Genomic DNA, 19,536 nt, shown 5'->3' with positions numbered 1-19,536 from the left:
AAAAAGATCAAGAAGCTAAGTTAGGTATGTTTTTCCATCAAGAAGAAAGCATGTCCCTGGCAGGGGGCTAGGCATGGGGCACAGCAAGAGGGATGAGGCACAGCCCTACAGTCACAAAGGTCAGGGGAGAGTGGACCAAGCACAGACAGAATTATCCATCCTGAGCTACTGTCTACTGCTGAGTATGGTCCATTGAGCAGCAAAAGCTGTCAAACTTCAGGAGTTTAGAAATATTGGTCATGTTAAAGATGAGGATTTGCTGGGGATGGCTTCACAAACACTAACAGGCTGGGCCCTGAAGAACCTGGATATGAGGAGGGGAGAAACAGACAAAGGCCGAGTGTGGTGACAGACAGTGTGTATGTGGGACAATGGTCAGCTTACAGGAAGCACTGGGTTTCTGCAAAGGATCATCAGTTTAAAGGCTGGAGAGGTAGGGAGTGAATAGCGGAAAGCTTTAAATGCCAGAGTAAGGAGGTTATTTTCTTGAATGAATTGAGGCAATGAAGTTTTGGGCAAGGCAGTGACTCCCTCATTGCATAAACACTAACTGATATTTACTCAGTACATTATGTGCAGGCATGTTCTCATTTACTGTACCTCTCACAACAACCCCAAGTGGTCTACTCATTACTACATCCACACTGATATAGCTTGCAAAAATTTAGGCTGAAGATTGGCCACATCAGTTATTCAAGACTGCACACCTAGCAAATAGTGGAGTCGTGTTTTAAGCTTAGAACTGTTGAACTCCAGAGTCCAGATGTTTAGCCTTTCAGATCAGTGTTTGGAAATGTTAACTTTATAGTGGTGTACTGCTTAGACTGAACCCTAAAGGAAGGTAATTTATAAATGTTAATAACTAATGGATAACCATAATGGAATCATGAATATAAAGAGCTTAGAAAAAAGTTATTGGTGTTTAACAAGAACTTAATTCACAGTCTTTTATTTTTTTTCTACTTTTACTTTATGTTCAGGGGTACATGTGCAGGTTTGTTACATAGGTAACTCGCATGTCACTGAGGCTTTGTGTACAAATGATCCCATCACTAAGGTACTGAGCACAGTACCTGAAAGGTAGCATTCCTGCCAACACCCCCACCACCTTCCCTGTTCAAGTCCCCAGGTTCTATTTTCCCCATCTTTGTGTCCACGTGTCTTCAAAGTTTAGCTCTTACTTATAAGTGAGAACATGCGATATTTCGTTTTCTGTTCTGGGCTGGTTCACTAAGGATGCTGGCCTCCAGCGGCATATGTGTTGCTGCAAGGGACATGATCTTGTTCCTTTTATGATTGCATAGCATTCCATTATATATATATATATATCACATTTTGTTGATCCAGTCCACTGTTGATGAACATCTTGGTTGATTCCATGTCTTTGCTATTGTGAATAGTGCTGCAATGAACATACAAGTGCATATGTCTTTTTGGGAGAACAATTTATTTTGCTTTGTATATATACCCAATAGTGGGATTTTGTTGGGTCAAATGCTAGTTCTATTTTAAATTCTTTAAGAAATCTTCACACTGCTTTCCACAGTAGCTGAACTAATTTGCATTCTTACCAACAGTGTATAACTGTTCCCTCTTCTCTGTAACCTCACTAGCATCTGTTGTTCTTTGACTTTTAAATAATAGCCATTCTGATGGTATGATATCTCATTGTGGTTTTGATATGCATTTCTCTAATAATTAGTAATTGATGTGATTGGGCTCTGCAACCCCACCCAAATCTCATGTCAAACTGTAATCCCCATGTGTCAGGGGAGGGGCCTGGTGGGAGGTTATTGGATTATGGGGGTGGATTCCCCCTCACTGTTTTTGTGATGAGCGAGTGAGTTCCTATTAGATCTGATGGTTTAAAAGTGTGTGGTTGGGCCGGGTGTGGTGGCTCATGCCTGTAATCCCAGCACTTTAGGAGGCCGAGGCGGGCAGATCACGAGGTCAGGAGATCAAGACCAGCCTGGACAACATGGTGAAACCCTGTCTCTACTAAAAATACAAAAGATTAGCTGGGTGTGGTGGCACACGCCTGTAGTCCCAGCTACTCAGGAGGCTGAGGAAGGAGAATCGCTTGAACCTGGAGGTGGAGGTTGCAGTGAGCGGAGATTGTGCCACTGCACTCCAGCCTGGGTGACAGACCAAGGCTTCATCTCAAAAACAAAAACAACAACAAAAAAACAAACAAACAAAAACAACAACAGTGTGTGGTACTGCCCCCTTCGCGCGCTCTCTCTCTCTCTCTCTCTCTCTCTCTCCTGCTATCACAGGAAAATGTGCTTGCTTCCCCTTCTGCCATGATTGTAAGTTTCCTGAGGCCCCCCAGTCATGCTTCCTGTTAAGCCTGCAGAATTGTGAGTCAATTAAACCTCTTTTCTTAGTAAATTGCCCAGTCTCAGGTAGTTCTTTGCAGTAGTATGAAAACAGAGTAGTACAGTGATTAGCATTTTTTCATATTGGTTGCATGCATGCCTTCTTTTCAGAAGTGTCTCTTAATGTCTTTTGCCCATTTTTTCATTGGGTTGTTTTTTGCTTGCTGATTTCTTGTAGATTCTGGATATTAGACCTTTGTCAGATGCACACTTTGCAAATATTGTCTCTGATTCTGCAGGGTGTCTATTTACTCTCTTGACAGTCTTTTGCTGTGGAGAAACTGTTTAATCAGGTCCCACTTGTCAATTTTTGTTTTTGTTCCCATTTCTTTTAGAGACTTAGTCAGAAATTCTTTGCCAAAGCTGATGTGCAGAATGGTATTTCCTAGGTTTTCCTCTAGGGTTTTCATTGTTTTAGGTCTTACAGTTAAGTCTTCAATCTATCTTGAGTTAATTTTTGCTTATGTGAAAGAAAGGGGTCCAATTTCAATCTTCTGCCTATGGCTAGACAGTTATCCTACCACCATTTATTGAATAGGATGTCCTTTCTTTACTGTTTGTTATTGTCAACTTTGTTAGAGATCAGGTGGTTGTAGGTGTGTGGCTTCATTTCTGGGTTCTCCATGCTGTTCCATTGGTTTATGTGTCTGTTTTTATACCAGTACCATGATGTTTTGGTTTTTGTAGCCTTGCTGTATAGTTTGAAGTTGGTTGGTGTGATGCCCCCGGCTTTGTTCTTTTTGCTTAGGATTGCTTTGATGGTCCGTGCTCCTCTTTGGTTCTATATGAATTTTAGGTTACTTTTTTCTAATTCTGTGAAAAATGACATTGGCAGTTTGACAGGAATAGCATTGACTCTGTAAATTGCTTTGGGCAGTATGGTCATTTTAACAATATTGATTCTTCCTATCCATGAGCAGGGAATGTTTTTCCATTTGTTTATGTTGCCTCTGATTTCTTTCTGCAGTGTAATTCTCATTGTAGAGATCTTTCACTTCTTTGATAAGCATATTCCTAGGTATTTTATTCTTTTTGAAGCTATTGTAAGTGGAATTTTGTTCTTTATGTAGGTCTGAACTTGAATGTTATTGGTGTATAAAAATGCTACTGATTTTTCCACATTGGTTTTGCATCCTGTAACTGTACTAAAGTTGTTTATCAGTTCTAGAAACCTTCTGGCAGAGTCTATGGGGTTTTCTAGGTATAGAAACACATCATAAAGAGACACAGTTTGACTTCCTCTCTTATTTTGAAGCCTTTTATTTCTTTCTCTTGCTTATTTGCTCTGGCTAGCAATTCCAATACCACGTTGCATAGAAGTGGTGAGAATGGGCATACTTGTCTTATTCTAGTTCTCAAAGGGAAGGCTTCCAGCTTTTGTCCATTCAGTATGATGCTGGCTGTGGGTTTGTCATAGATGGCTCTTGCTATTTTGAGGTATGTTCCTTTGATGCCTAATTTGTTGAAGATTTTTTTTAACATGAAGGGATGCTGAATTTTATCAAAGGCCTCTTCTGCATCTATAGAGATGATCAAAGGTTTTTATTATTCTGTTTATGTGGTGAATCACGTTTATTGATTGGCATATGTTAAACCAACTTTGCATATCAGGAATAAAGCCTACTTGATTGTGGTGAATTAACTTTTTGATGTGCTGCTGGATTTGGTTAGCTAGTACTTTGCTGAGGATTCTTGCATCTACCTTCATCAGAGATATTAGCCTGAATTTTTCTCTTTTTTTCTTGTGTCTCTGCCAGTCTTTGGTATCAGGGTGATGCTGGTTTTAGAGAGTTAGGGAGGAGTCCCTTCTCTTTGAATTTTTGGAATAATTTCAGTAGGATTGGTACTAGCTCTTCTTCATATATCTGGTAGAATTCAGCTGTGAATCTATCTAGTCCAGGGCTTTTTTCTGGTTGGTAGGTATTTTTTTGTATTACTGATTTAATTTCAGAACTCATTATTGGTCTGTTCATGACTTAAATTTCTTCCTGGTTCAAACTTGGGAGGCTGTGTGTTTCTGGGAATGTATCCATTTCTTAAACACCTTGTTTGTGTGCACAGAGGTGTTCGTAACAGTCTCTAAGGATTTTTTTGTTTGTTTCCGTGGGGTCAGTTGTAATGTTACCTTTGTCATTTCTGACTGTGTTTATTTAGATTTTCTCTGCTTTTTCCCTTATTAATCTAGCTAGCAGTCTATAAATCTTGTTTAATCTTTCCAAGAAAGATTAAATTTTTGGTTTGCTGACTTTTTGTATGAATTTTCACATCTCAATTTCATTCAGTTTAGCTCTGATTTTGGTTATTTCTTTTCTCCTGCTAGCTTTGGAGTTGACTTGCTCTTGTTTTTCTAGTTCCTGTAGGTGCATCATTAGGTTAATTTGAGATCTAACTTTTTGATGTAGGTGTTTAGCACAACAGACTTTCTTCTTAACCCTGCTTTAGCTATGTCCCAAAAATTCTGGTATATTTTGTCTTTGTCGTCATTAATTTCAAGGATTTAAAAAAAAATTTTTATACTTTTGCCTTAATTTCATTCTTTACCCAAAAGTCTTTCAGGAGCAGGTTGTTTAACTTCCATGTGATTTTTATGGTTTTGATAGATCTTCTTGGTATTGATTTCCATTTTTATTCCACTGTGGTCAAAGAGTGTGATTGGTATGATTTTGATTTTTCTGAATTTGCTGAGATTTGTTTTATGGCTGAATATGTGGTTGATCTTAGAGTATGTGCCATGTGAGATGAGCAAAATATATATTCTATTGTTGTTGGATGGAGTGTTCTGTAGATGTCTATTAGGTCCAATTGGCCAAGCACTGAGTTTAAGTCTAGAATATCTCTGTTAGTTTTCTGCCTCAATGATCTGTTTAACACTGTTGGTAGGGTGTTGAAGTCCCCCAGTATCACTGTTTGGTTCTCTAAATCTCTTGTAGGTCTCTAAAATCCTGTTTTATGAATCTGGGTGCTCCAATATTGGGTATGTATATATTTAGGATAGTTAAGTCTTCTTGTTGGCTTGGGCCCTTTATCATTATGCAATGCCTTTCTTTGTCCTTTTTGATCATTGTTGGTTTAAAATCTGTTTTATCAGATACAAGAATAGCAACCCATGTTCTTTTTTGTTTTCCACTTTCCTGACACTTCTTTTACTTTGAGCCTATCAGCACCATTACTTGTGAGATGGGTCTCTTGAAGGCAGCAGACAGTGGGTCTTGCTTCTTTATCCAAATTGCTACTCCATGCCTTTTGAGCGGGACATTTAGCCTGTTTACATTCAGAATCCATATTAATATGTGAGGATTTGATCCTTTCATTGTGCCGTTAGCTGGTTGTTATGTAGACTTGATTGTATGTGCATATGTAGACTTCATTATCATGGCAGGTATTGTTCTTTCATTTCCATATTTAGCACTCCCTTTAGTAGATCTTGTAACGCAGGTCTAATTGCAACAAGTTCCCTTAGCATTTGCTTGTCTGAAAACGATTTTGTTTCTCCTTCACTTTATGAAGCTTAGTTTCGCAGGATATGAAATTCTTGGTTGGAATTTCTTTTCTTTAAGGATATTGAAAATAGTCCCTGAATCTCTTCTGGCTTATAAGGTTTCTGCCGAAAGGTCCACTGTTAGCTTGATGGGGTTTCCTTTGTAAGTGACCTTCCCCTTCTCTCTAGCTGCCTTTAAGATTTTTCTTTTTCATTGACCTTGGAGAATCTGATGACTATGTGTCTTAGGGATGGTTACCCTGCATAGTTTCTCATAGGAGTTCTCTGAATTTCTTGAATTTGCACGTCAACCCCTCTAGTGAGACTGGGGAAATTTTCGTTGACTACATCCTCAAATATATTTTCCAAGTTGCTTGATCTCTCTTTTCTTTCTGAAATGCCAATAAATACAGGCATTCACATAATCCCATATTTTTGAAGTTTCATTCTTTTTTTACATTCTTTCATTCTTTATTTTTGTCTGCCTGTGTTACTTCAAAGGAATGGTATTCAAGCTCTGAGATTCCTTCCTCAGTTTGGTCTATTCTGTTGTTAATGCTTCCAATTGTATTTTGAAATTCCTGTAGTGATTTTTTTATTTCCAGAAGTTCAGTTTGGTTCTTTCTTAAAAATGGTTATTTCATCTTTCAACTCCAGGATCATTTTACTGTTTTCCTTGGATTGGGTTTCAACCTTCTCTTGTATCTAAATGAGCTTCCTTGCCATCAGATTCTGAAATTCTACATCTGACATTTTAGCCATTTCAATAAAATATGTAAATTAAACACAGTAAGATTTAGATCTCCAAGGAATATTTTAAAAGTCCCCCTCTGAATGGCTCTTGCATATATCTGCAGTTCTATAATACTCATGGACATGTAGGCTTAGGATACTGACTTCACATCTTATATTCCCACCTCTATTTAGTCATCAAGTCCTGTTATTTCTTCCCTGAAAAACCTCATTTTTTTCCCCTTTGATTTTCCCTTTCATTCTCACTGAAACCACGAACACTTATGTCCTAATAACCTCTCCTTGGCTTCTGGCTATAGCCTCCCAGTGTTCCTCTTTGTCTTTCCAATTCTGCTGAACATGGCCAGATTTCTCCTAAAGAAGTGGTTCTCAAACATGAGCAAGCATCAGAATCACCAGGAAGGTTCCTTAAATCACTTATCATCCAGCATTTAGGATTGAACAGGGAGGAAAAGGTACACGACACTGCATTTTCAGTAAGTTCCCAGGTGTTGCTGCTGGTCCTAAGACCACATTTTAGAACCACTGCCTTAAAAATGGAGCACCTGTGCTGTTTTGAGCTCCCAGTTCAAAAAACTTTATTAGTTCCACATTGCCTGCAAAATTAATTCTCCACTCATCGGCCTGTCTTTGATGTCTTCCATTTATAATCCCAACTGAGTTTGCCAGGCTTGCTTCTAGTTATCACCTTACACAGTATCTTGTTAACACCCACACCTCCAGTGCCTAGTCATGGCCTAAAATATGCTAGTTCCTTTGGGAAGTTCATGATCTTTTTAAGCCTCTATATCCTCATCTCCAGGAGAGGTACATCATTTCTCTTGCAAGGCTGTTGTGAGGATTGGCAAATCAACTAAGCATGCAGTAATGCCTGACACAGAGGTGGCAACTGTACTGTTGTTATTTCATCATTTAAACACAAATCAATTGCTACTTTCAAGGGCAAGGTAAACAGTTACATCACAAAAACACACACATACAGTATTACTCCCTAACCACAAAAACTAGCTATTAAGAATTTCAACACAATGAACAACCAGAGAAGCAATGAGGGATTTTTTACAGAAAATTCCATTATGAGGGAACATGTTTAAAATGTTAGAATTTTGGCATACAGCTATTATATATGTGAAGTAATTATTTTTCTTCCTTTTTAATTTCCTGTTATTCATACCTGCACTTAACTATTGATGAATGGGAAAATAATGGTGACATAAATCACTTCTCAACAATCAGGTCAATTATTCAAACAGTTCAATAGTAACTTGCTTAGTTTTGGGGGTAACATTTGGTTTGTGTGAGAGAGAACTGTACTATTAAGAGTGCATCCTTTACTTCACTACAGCACAGTTTTTGTTAACTGAGCAGAGGTGTGAAGAAACATGTGATTCCTAAAACCTAGAAATTCAAAGCAAAGGGTTTTAATATGTTTTGCTGTCACAGGTAGATAACTTCTGCTTCTGCTGAGATGCAGAAATGACCAATTCTGAATTGAAAGAACACATATGAACTAGGAATTAGGGGCAGGTATTTCATGCAGGAAGATAATTTTCACTGAGCAAAAAAAAATTACTGTAGGGTCTCTGCATATGATTTTGGATTACAGTAAGAAAATGGAAAGGAATAAATGGGTACTGCTAATAGTAATAGCTAACAATTATTGAGCACTTTCTATGTTCTTAATAGTAGTGTTTTATATTGATGAATATAGTGTATCCTTACAACAATCCTATAAAGTAGGTCATATTATTATACTGTTTTCCAGAAAACTGAGTCAGAGAGGATTAAGTAGCTTGCTCAAGGCAACAAAGCTGGTAAACAGTGGAGGAAGAACTCGAGTCTAGACTGTCTGGTTACACAGCCCATGTTCTTCACCACCACACTGTTCATTCTGTCAACACAGGTAGGCAAAATCACGACACTGATACAAACATCAAAATGCATCCATCTACTGAGTGTCTCTTAGCAAAAAGAGTGGGATTTGTTATCAGATATCCCTGAGTTCCACATCTGGCTTTATGGCTTACGTAACCTTGCACAAGTGACTCAGCCTCTGAACTTCAATTTCTTCATCTGAAGACAGAATAGTCATATATTCCTGATAGTCATCTATCAAAAAAATGTTGTTGAATATCTATCTATTAAATTCCAGGCATTGTGATAGGCACAGGGTTCAAAAAGCTATCATGGAGCTCAATCCTCATGCAGATGGAGGGGAAATCAAATAGTCACACTAACTCAAGAATGATCAACACAATGAACAATCAGGGAAGCAATGAGGGTTTTTTACGGAAAATTCCATTATGAGGGAACATGTTACACACTAAGTTGAGTTCTGAGAGCCCACTTGTTATGGGGAAAGGTGGGACAGTGAAGGCTTTCCCCAGGAAATATACAGAGCTTAGAGGTACATAAGAAGTAAAGAGGTAGAAAGCACTGCAGACAATGAACAGCAGCCTTGAAAGCCACTGTGAACTTAATTCTTTATCCTATGAGCAATCTGGATTAGTGGATTCTGAGTGAGGAGAGTTACACAGATTAAATTCGATAATAACTGGGAGAGCCTAGGCACAATGACCAGGGTATAATAATAATAAGATCCCTACCCCTCCATTCCAAAAGTATCTCTGCTCTGACTCATTTTGATTTCATAATATGGCTGAATCAAGCAGGCAGGACTCTAAGAAACTATCACAGCCTTACAAGATCAATCAACACTTACTCACTGTCCTACCCATTCCAGGACCAGGGCCAGACGTTATAAAGAATACAAAGATGAATAACAGATCCTGATTTCAAGGAATTTATAATCTAGTTAGGAAGACAAGGTGATAGAAAGCTTTACAGGTTCCCATTCTTTCCAAGATAAAGTCCAAATTCCTTAGCAGGTAAAGGTCCCTTCATGACATGGCTTTTGCTGACCTTCCCACCTCCCCTCCTCCTCCTCCTCCTCCTCCTCCTCCAACAGCAGCACCTTCTAGTGTATCCAAAAAGCAGGTTAATTGCTCACTGCATGCGAAGTCCAATTAACAAGAGTAAGGTCTGATACAAGGCAAGTGAATTTACTCCAAAGCTAGCTTGGGGAAGGGGCACAAAGCGTCCTGCCTTTAAATACGCCACTTCACCTTTGGAGCAGAAAACAGACATCTTTATAAGGTAAGGGGGTAGTGAGCAAGGGCAAGGGGTCCCCCTGCTAGCCTGGTGTCTTATCTACTGAACAGTTGAGTTGGTGCCTTTCTGAGCAGAAATAAGTTGTAAAAGTGGCCAAGCCGGCATACTTTTGATATGTCCTCCTGGTAGATGAAAGTCCTGAGGCAACCCCCCGAGGGTGGAAGATCTAACGTTATTCCCTAGAGGTGAACGTTCCATAGCAGGTATGTTTTGGTTTGCAAGTCGACTGTCAACTCTTGCAGAGAAATCTGTCTTGGGACAGACAGTAAGAAGAACTCATCCTGCAGGAAATGTCTGGTGAGGGGAAGGTGACAGGTTATATTTGCATTCTGAAGGGCTAATAGGAAACAGGGAACAGAGGGAAAGGGGAGAGGAGGAGAGAAAATAAAAACAATAACAGTAACTCATGCCCTTTTTCTTAGAAAAAATGATAGCACTTAAAACTATTACCTCTGATCACAAGTTGCCAACTTCTGAAAGTTTGCACATGCTGTTCCCCTTTTCCAAGGGCCCACCATGTCTAAGAGGCAATCCTATTCATATAAGCTTTTACAAGGCATCAGCTATTCCCTCCAGGTAGCCTATCCTGCCTTTCTGGGGATGAGTAGCTCCTCTGTACTTTGTGGAATTTATCACATTGCTATATGTTATTGGTACGTCTGACTCTCATTGTGAACTCGTTCCCAAAAGACGCGAACTCAATTTGTTCTATTCATCTTTGCATCAGTACTTAAAAGCAGTCTGACATAGCAGAAATGAAAAAAAAAAAAAAAAAAAAAAAGGAAGGTGTGCAGAAAGTAGAGAAGATGGGGAAGCTGGGAGGGAGGAAGGGAAGGGATATTTCAAGATATAGTGAGGATTATTTGATTATTTTATTGTTTAGAGATAGGGTCTCTCTCTGTCATCCAGGCTGGAGTGCAGTGGTGTGATCATAGCTCACTGTAACCTTGACCTCCTGTGCTCAAGTCATCCTCCAGCCTCAGCCTCCCAAAGTGCTGAGATTACAGGCATGGGCCATGGCACATGCCCAATGCATTTTAAAGATTAAAGCCTATTATTTGAGGTGAAATGCACATACAGTGAAATGTACACATGTTAAGTATACAGTTTTTGAGTTTGGCAAAGGTATACATTGAAGTAACACTTAACACCTTAGAATCTAGTGGTACCATCTTATACTCATGTCAGCAATACACGGCAGTTCCAGTTACTCCACATTCTCATCAACACTTGGTGCTGTTTTTTTAAATTTTAGCTCTTCTAGTTTCTGTTAAGTACGATCTCAATGCAGTTTTAGTTTACGTTTTCCTAATGACAACTGGTGCTAAATATAACTTTTCACATGTTTACTGGCCATTCATACATGTTCTTTTGTGAAATGTTTGTTCAAATCTTTTGCCCATTTTTATTGAGTTACCTGTCTTATTTTTACTGATTTAAAGTAATTCTTTATATATCCTGGAAACATGTCCTTTGCCAGAGGTATATATTAAGAATATTTCTCCTAGCCTGTGGCTTGCCTTCTCATTTTGTTAATATTTTGATCACCACGTGTTTTTTAAAATTTTAATGAAGTCTAATTTATCAATTTTTAAAATATAGTTAATGATTGTAAATCTTCTCTAAGAAATTCTACAACTTACAGGTAAAAAAAAATTGTATGGTTTCTTCTGGAAGCTGTACGGTTTTAGTTTTAGCTTCTATGTTTGAATCTCCAGTCCCTCTCACAGACCCTACTTCTGGATAACACACAGTATTTCTTTAGTTACAAAACAGCTGGATTGTTTTTGCATTGTCTCTTCTAACTATGCATATTCATTTAGATAGGCTGCTGGGCAAGAAGGGCAATGAAAGCAAAGTTGATGGGAGAAGGAAAAAATAATGGATACAAAACAATTTGAAAATCATTCTTCAAATTACTTCAAGGTAACATTTCAGGAGATTTTTCATTTTGGTAATTAAATTCTAAAGGAAGCATTCATGAAAAATAAAGCAATTAGTATCACTGTATCTCAATAGTATCTCTTAACATGAATTTCTTAGAAAAAGTAGATCTACAGAGCCAGAAAGCGGATGATTGTCTGGGGCCTAGAGGCAAGGGCAGGGATGACTGCAAATGGGCACAAGGGGAGATGGGATGCTGGAAGTGTTATAAACTATGGCGGTGATGGTTAACAACTATAAACATTTATTAAAACTCAAACTGTACAATTACAAGAGGTGAATTCTATGACATATAAATTATCCCTCAATAAAGCTGTCAAAAAAAATCAAGCCTGCTTGTTGGAGCCCCAGGAAAACAAACAAAAAATTCTATATAGACAAAGTAGAAAAAATACAGCTTTGTATATACATAGTAAGAAAAGAAAATTCTGTTTGAACATTAGATAAACCAAGGAGTTGGCTTAAAAGAGAAACTGATTGGAAAGAAGTGTATGAAGAAGGAGGAAAGAAAACTGTGTACTCCTTTAAAGTAAGTAGCTCAATCTGGGAAATGTTACAGTTTCAGACACAGCATTCCTTTGAAATCAAAGATCACTTCCTTAAAATATTCTTATCCTTTCTTTGAAAGTTACATAAATTATATTAGTGTGTATTCCATTTAGGCCAAGCAACAGGCAATGTTTTCCCCAAGGTCCCTTTGTAATTAAGTGATATGTTAATATTAACAAGAAGTCCTTAAGAACCTTTTCAGTTTGTTTTTCCCCCTAATACTGACTCTACAGAAAAGTATAGTAGTGTCCTCTTATTCTCTGAATTCTGAATTCACTTTCTGCCATTTCAGTTACCTCTAGCCAACTGTGGTCCAAAAGTATAAATTAAGAATTCTAAAAGAATAAATTCCAGAAATAAAAAATTCCTAAGTTTAAAATTGTGTGTCATTCTGGGTATTGCAATGAAATCTCACTTAGTCCTGTGCAGGCCATGAATCACCCTTTGTCCAGCATATTCAGGCTGTATACATTCCTTGCTCATTAGTCATGAATATCTAACCATCAGCATCCTCATGGTTCCATGAGCCAGGTTCACCCGCAGCAGATGATCTTCCTCCTGACATTTCATCTCAAGGTCAATAGTAGGCTAACACTACCTCGTGATGCCTATGTCATTCACCTCACTTCATCTGATCACACAGGCATTTTATCATTTCACATCATCACCAAAAGAAGGGTGAGTACAGTAAGATATTTTAAGAGAGGAGGAGACCACATTCACATTAACATTTATTACAACCTATTGTTATAACTGTTCTATTTTATTATTAGTTATTGTTGTGAATCCCTTACTATGCCTAATTTATAAAGTTTAACATAGATATATATGTATAGGAAAAAAACATAGTATATATAGCGTTCAGTACTATCTGTGGTTTCAGGCATCCACAGGGGAGGGGAGGGTTTTAGATGGGCCATATCCCCTGCTGGTAAGGGAGGACTACTGTACCAGATCATCTGTGAGTTAACAGCCAGGTTTTTCACTATGATTACAAACAGATGTAATTACTCAAACCCCAGGAAGCACCCTAGTTGAGTATAGAATCTAAATCTTACTACATCTTAGACTTGGGTGGCCGAGCTCCTTTCATTGGTCAGAGAATTTTTTTTTCATGTTATTCTCTATGGATAGAGTTTTAAAAGTCAAAGGAAAATGATTAAGCAAGAGATAAAAGGAGAAACCTTTGCATCAAGCATCATGCCTCTCCAGAGAAAGTTTTAGTTTCTCAAAAACTAAAACCAACAGATTAAAAGGCTCTTCTTCTTGGAGATGATATTAATTATACTTTTATATATTTATATATTTTACATATTTATAATATTTTGGAGAAAAGATTTTTTTTTATTATTAAGAAGAAAGGACCTCTGAGGGAAGCCCAGCTGTGGGAACTAAAGTTCTAGGCTTCATCCGTAACAAAGTGCATTATTAAGCCCCACTTCTAAGAGATTCTGTACAAAGAAACCTTACCAATTCCACACTGTAGAATAAGCAGGCAGTTCTGTAGAGAAACCTACATAAATCAGAAAACAATTGGCATGCTACAAATCAATCGAAGGAAATGGATTCATTTGCTAGATAAAGCAAGGGAAGGAATTTTGAAATAATATACAATAAGGGTCTTGAATGAGTTGAAAGACTAACACTTTGGAAGAAAAAGCTCTTTTCAGAGATTTTAGCTAAACTGAAATATGGGATCATTTATAAAACCTCTAAAGCAATATCTAAAGCATTTATTATTTGAAAATCTACCTAATCAATAGATTTCAATGAGATAAAATACAAGTTTTTGGCTAATAAGAGAAGTCACTAAGAAATTCAGGATATCTATTTCTAATGAGTTAACTAACTCTTTACATACATACAAATATATATTTAGATAAGGTCTGAGGACATTCAAATAATGATTGAGGTGGGGGAATGGGCAGGAGGACTAAGAAAAACGAGAGAAAGAAGCTAAGACAGGCCCTTGAGGTTAGCCTGCCAATCAACTCGCTATTTGTATGTGATTGTGTTTGGGGGTTTTGTTTTTTGTTTTCTTTTGTTTTGCTTTTTAATGGTCCTTGATAAGGTACCTGTCCATCTGACTCAATGTACAGAGTTCACAGAATTACCAACCATTTTCTTACTCAGACAAGTCTAACTTTTATTTTTCAAATTAGATACCTCAGATATTTGTCCAGAATAAACAGCCCCAATTCACCTATCCTAACTCCACCCAGAAAGGGTTTCCCACAAGCCCAGCAGGCTGCAAGCCTTCAGTTCATCTCAAGGATACACTCAACATTAGCAGTGCCTTTTCTGAGTTTAACCCTCTCCTCCCACCCCACAACTCAACACTACCAGAAATAAGTTAAGCCCCTGGAGAGGCACCTAAGCAGACCTCAAGTCACATGACATGGTGATAGTACAACATCAAGGGGAAGAAGCTGTGACCTAAAGACACATGACATGGTGATAATAAGTACAACATCAAGAGGAAGAAGCTAATGGCAGATTGAAGGGTGATGCTTTGGCAGCAAATAAACAGAAAACATTTTTATAAAATGCATGGAGAAAATGTACTATTAAGCTATGATAATTCATTAAATATATAAACATCCAGCCCCATTACAGCAAATGACCATCTCATCTGGGAATCATGAATTGCCAAAGAAGCACTTAAAATTTAACTGCAATGACTCTGAGAATAATATTTTAGTATGATGGTGGTTAGAAATCTGAAAGCTAGGTAAGATTTTTGTCAGTTTCCATAGAGGTGCATTCAGTGAATTATTACCTGCTCCCAACCAGTCAGGAAAAACATAAATGGAAAACAAGAGAGAGCTTTAAGCCCTAAAAGGGATTGGTAAACACAGAGAACAAACCTTGGAGGTTTTCAGCCTGTAAAATTTCTGCCAATATTCTTAGTCATTACATGAAATACCACAATATGACTCACCACCACCTACACAGTAATATTCTCTGTGTCTGATAGACATGTTTTCATTTGATACATAAAAATAAGAAGTGAGAAACACCACAAGCAAAGGCTGACTAATAGAAATAATTTCTAGTTTCTTACTACCAATGGTTAAGTGTTTTTTACACTATTTCCTTTTTTCTCTTAATAGCAAGCAATGCAGACTATATTCAGTTGGCTAGACAAAGTCTGCAGCTAAACACATAGGCTTTTTATTCAGCTTTTTTACCGTTAAACTAGAAACTCATTAGAGTGACTTCAAGTTTTAATAGTCTGCATCACCAACAGTTTTCCGGTAATCTAAAATAAGCTTTTTTCTAAACATGTTAGAATCATCTCCAAATATCCACCCAAATTTCCAGTATTTACACCTATAATCTAGTACAACTTCAGTTGACAAGTCTTACTAGATAAATTTTTTTTTTAACTTTTAAGTTCGGGGTACACGTGCAGGTTTGTTGTATAGGTAAACTTGTATTACACGGTTTGTTGTACAGATGATTTCATCACCCAGCTATTAAACCTAGTACCCACAGTTATTTTTTCTGATCCTCTCCCTCCTCCCACCCTTCACCCTCTGACAGGCCCCATTGCCTGTTGTTCTTGAAAGAGAGAATTTCTAAGCATGTTTTCCTAATTGAATGGAAGTACTTCATCTCCGGGGATACAGCACCAGCTGTAAAGTGACAGACAAGAAAGGTACCCTAAGTCCCTGTGGGCAACCAACCATGAAGCCAAGTTCCACACATGGCCACCTCCTTCGATAGCACCAGCACTGCTCTTGCCAGCCCAGGCCCCTCCCACACCCTCAAGAGGATTGTTTGGCTGCTTGTCTGACACTTTAAAGCTTTAATTGGGTCAAAAGACAATCTAGCAGAATAAGTCTTCCCACATTGGAGCTATTTATTTCACCACGTAATATACAGTACAGAGACTTTTAAAGAGAAAGAATATTTCTTAAACATTGTCACCCTTATCCTTTTAATCTGCTAACTTTCATGCCAACCACTTTGGTGTCCCCATTGTAACTAACATTTTAATGAGAAGAAAGAGTAAAACAGGATGACAGCAGGTGGATAGGGTGCAGGCAGAGTATAAGAATCAGCCCAAACTTATCACCACTATGAGAATATTAAAATACAAACCCAACTGCTGCAGGATTCCACAGTTATTAATTCATGCATGCATGCATACATTCACTCAAATACTTATTGTGCATCTCATGTGTAATGCTTCAGTAATTAGTTATACATCCATTCACTCAAGCCACAAACATTCATTGAGCACCTACTCTGGACCAAGCACTGCCCTAGGCCCCCAGGATCCTAAGTGTGAGAAAGTCAGATATAACACCTGAGCCATTCTGCTCTCTGAAGGTGCAAAGGTGCATATATATAGTGGATTAACACAATGAGTTATTCATATGAGAAAAAACTCAAACTATCTGACTGTTGAAAAGATGGCAAAAGATTCTGACTTTTCCTTCTACATCGAAGAAAAGCCTATTTTTCCTGAAAACAATTCATATTTATGTTATATATACATAACATAAATATATATACATGTCATATATATATTCTGAGTTTTTAATTATTTGGTTTAATTTAGTTCTTAAATATTGCACTGAGTAATGAAATAAACAGCTAGCTGCTTTTGGATCTTGCCAACAAATTCATTTAAAACTGAACACAAGAAAAAATACTGCAACTTTTTCAGGAATCTGGTTTGCCAAGGAACAAAAATTCTAGCTCTTCACCCATAAGCCCGAAAATCATAACTAAAAGATATAGCTGGTCACTGAGCTCTTGTAACACGCACCAAGAACAGCTTGAAATTCCAGAGGAATTCTGGGAATTGAAGGTTGGAGTGGGGAAGATTCCAGACACAGCGAGTAAAAATATTCAAGGACTGTTCAGACCTGAAAAACACCATCCATGGTATTGAGCAATTACCTCCCAAAGGCCATGTCACATGTGTTTTCTGAGAGCAAACCATGGTGACTAGATAATTCCCAGAGCATCAAGATATATTCTTATGTACAGTTAATTGCACAAACTACCAGATCCTTCTAGCCATTACTGAAACACATTTTTAAAATTACGCTTAAAAGCTTACCTAAACCACACTACTTATAAAGATCAAATTATTCCTCCAGCCTTTTGACACCTGTATTGGCTTATATGAGGACACATAGAGAATGGGAATGTCAGTATACTATAACGACTTTGTATAATTTGTATATGGTAGTATAAGGACTAAGTTAAATAGTCAGATTTTAAATTGTAGCCAAAAGCTAAGTAGGTCCATACTATCCAGGGTCTCTTTGGGATTCATTTTAATAAAAATCATCAGGACCAAGAGGATCCATAGCCATTTTGTCAACAGCATTATTAATTCAGAGATAGTTTTATAGTATAGTATTTCTATTTAAAAACAACATTTTCATGTTTCTTTCCTCCACCTCTTCATGCTCCCTCATTTCAGTCTCCTTGATCTAATATTAAGATATAAGAAGCATCCAGAAATAAATGATAATTGAAATGGTAACAAAATATTTAATATGAAGTTGAAGTCCAAATTTAACAGCCTGTAGGAAAGGACATTTGGAATGATCTTGGTAAGATACAATATACATTCAGAATTAGAAGGAACAAAATGGTTTTATGGTCGTATCTTAAGCTTTATTGGATGTGTTTAATGAATCAGAGGATTAGAAGGAAACTTAAGAAATCATTTTGACCATCTTACTGTCTCTAAGCAGACAGGACTTCAACCAGTACAAAGAAATGTATAATGCCACTGAAATGAGAGTCTACTGCCAACCCTACTGTTTTAGGAACAAAGCAATGTTCTATTCAGAAGTACAGCAGATATCAGCAAGCAAAACCACTTATGTCAATATCAGCCTATATCATAAACCATCAGTTGTTCTCAGGGCCAAAATAACTGATCAAGTCCTGGATGTGAGATCATCTTCTGTCACCTTTAAATTGACTGTATCTTGGCAGCAGTTCACATTTACTCCATAGGAATTTTAGCACTGCACACATTTAAGCCCATATCTACATTCCAACTATTCTTTGTGATATATTGCATATCTTCACACTGTTCTGAGCATTTTCCTACAGCATCAAGTTATCAAAAAATGCTACACTGTCAAAGGAAGATCTCTCCCCCTCCCTCCCTCTCTCCTACATACATACATACATACATACATATATATGTGTGTATGTGTGTGTGTGTGTGTGTGTGTATATATATATATTTTGTTTGTTTGTTTGTTTTTTGAGACAGTCTTGCTCTGCTGCCCAGGCTGGAGTGCAGTGGCCCGACCTCGGCTCACTGCAACCTCCATCTCCCAAGGTTCAAGTGACTCTCGTGCCTCAGCCTCCTAAGTAGCTGGGGTTACAGGCATGTGCCACCACATCTGGCTAATTTTATTAATAGTAAAGATGGGGTTTCACCATGTTGGCCAGGCTGGTCTCGAACTCCTGGCCTCAAGTGATCTGCCCGCCTTAGTCTCCCAAAGTGCTGGGATTACAGGTGTGAGCCACTGTGCCTGGCCAGCCACTGCACCCAGCCAATATATTTTAATTCTCTGTCAACTGATTGTTTCCTTTAGCTAAACAAAACTTTTCTCTTTTTAAGCTTTACAGGTTTGTCAAATAAAACCAACTTTTAATCTCATGGAAACAGAACAATTTTAGTATCAATTCCCTCATTAGATTCTGAATTTTGGCTTCCAGATAACTGAATACTTTGACACTATTGTAGACATGTATCTTTGAAGTCTTATACAGTCCGATTTTCTCTGTGTAACTACAGAGCAATCCTTTATACTCTAATAAACAATAGATTAAAACTATGACTCTTTACAACCAGTTTTTTTTTCCTTCTATCAGTTTAAAATGGAATGTTCCTATTACGCAATTTTTTCATCTTTCTTGGGGACAGGCAACTGAATAGCTCCTGTAGGTTACTTTCTATTGTTAGTCACGGTCTTCACTTATAAGGCAAGTTTTAAAAATGAAGAGATAAAAAATGTTGAAACTTTTCATTGATTTTTGTAACAACAGAAGTACTTTATTATTAAAGGCAGCTTAAAATAAGCCTCGGTCATAAGAGAAATTATGCTGACAGCCTGAGAAAAGGAGTAACAATTCACAAGGCTGGTAGAAGAACAAAATGTGTACCCTGGTATATCCTTAGGACTCATTTGGGTTCCTGTAGCTCCTTTCATATCAAAATGACTTCAGAATATATGAAAAATGAAGAGATTATTGATGTAGGTTCCCAAGTGA

At 37.6% G+C, this 19,536-nt stretch overlaps 1 protein-coding gene across 5 annotated transcripts in view; it reads right to left on the bottom strand.

Moving 5' to 3' along the window:
* Positions 1–19,536, bottom strand: part of DAAM1 (dishevelled associated activator of morphogenesis 1) — a 182,739-nt gene that overhangs the window by 80,309 nt on the left and 82,894 nt on the right. The gene's annotated exons all lie outside the window — the stretch shown is intronic.

This window comes from Homo sapiens, chromosome 14 (genome assembly GCF_000001405.40).
Source record: "Homo sapiens chromosome 14, GRCh38.p14 Primary Assembly".
In the NCBI taxonomy this organism is placed as follows: domain Eukaryota; kingdom Metazoa; phylum Chordata; class Mammalia; order Primates; family Hominidae; genus Homo; species Homo sapiens.
This window is presented reverse-complemented; position numbering and strand designations above follow the sequence as displayed.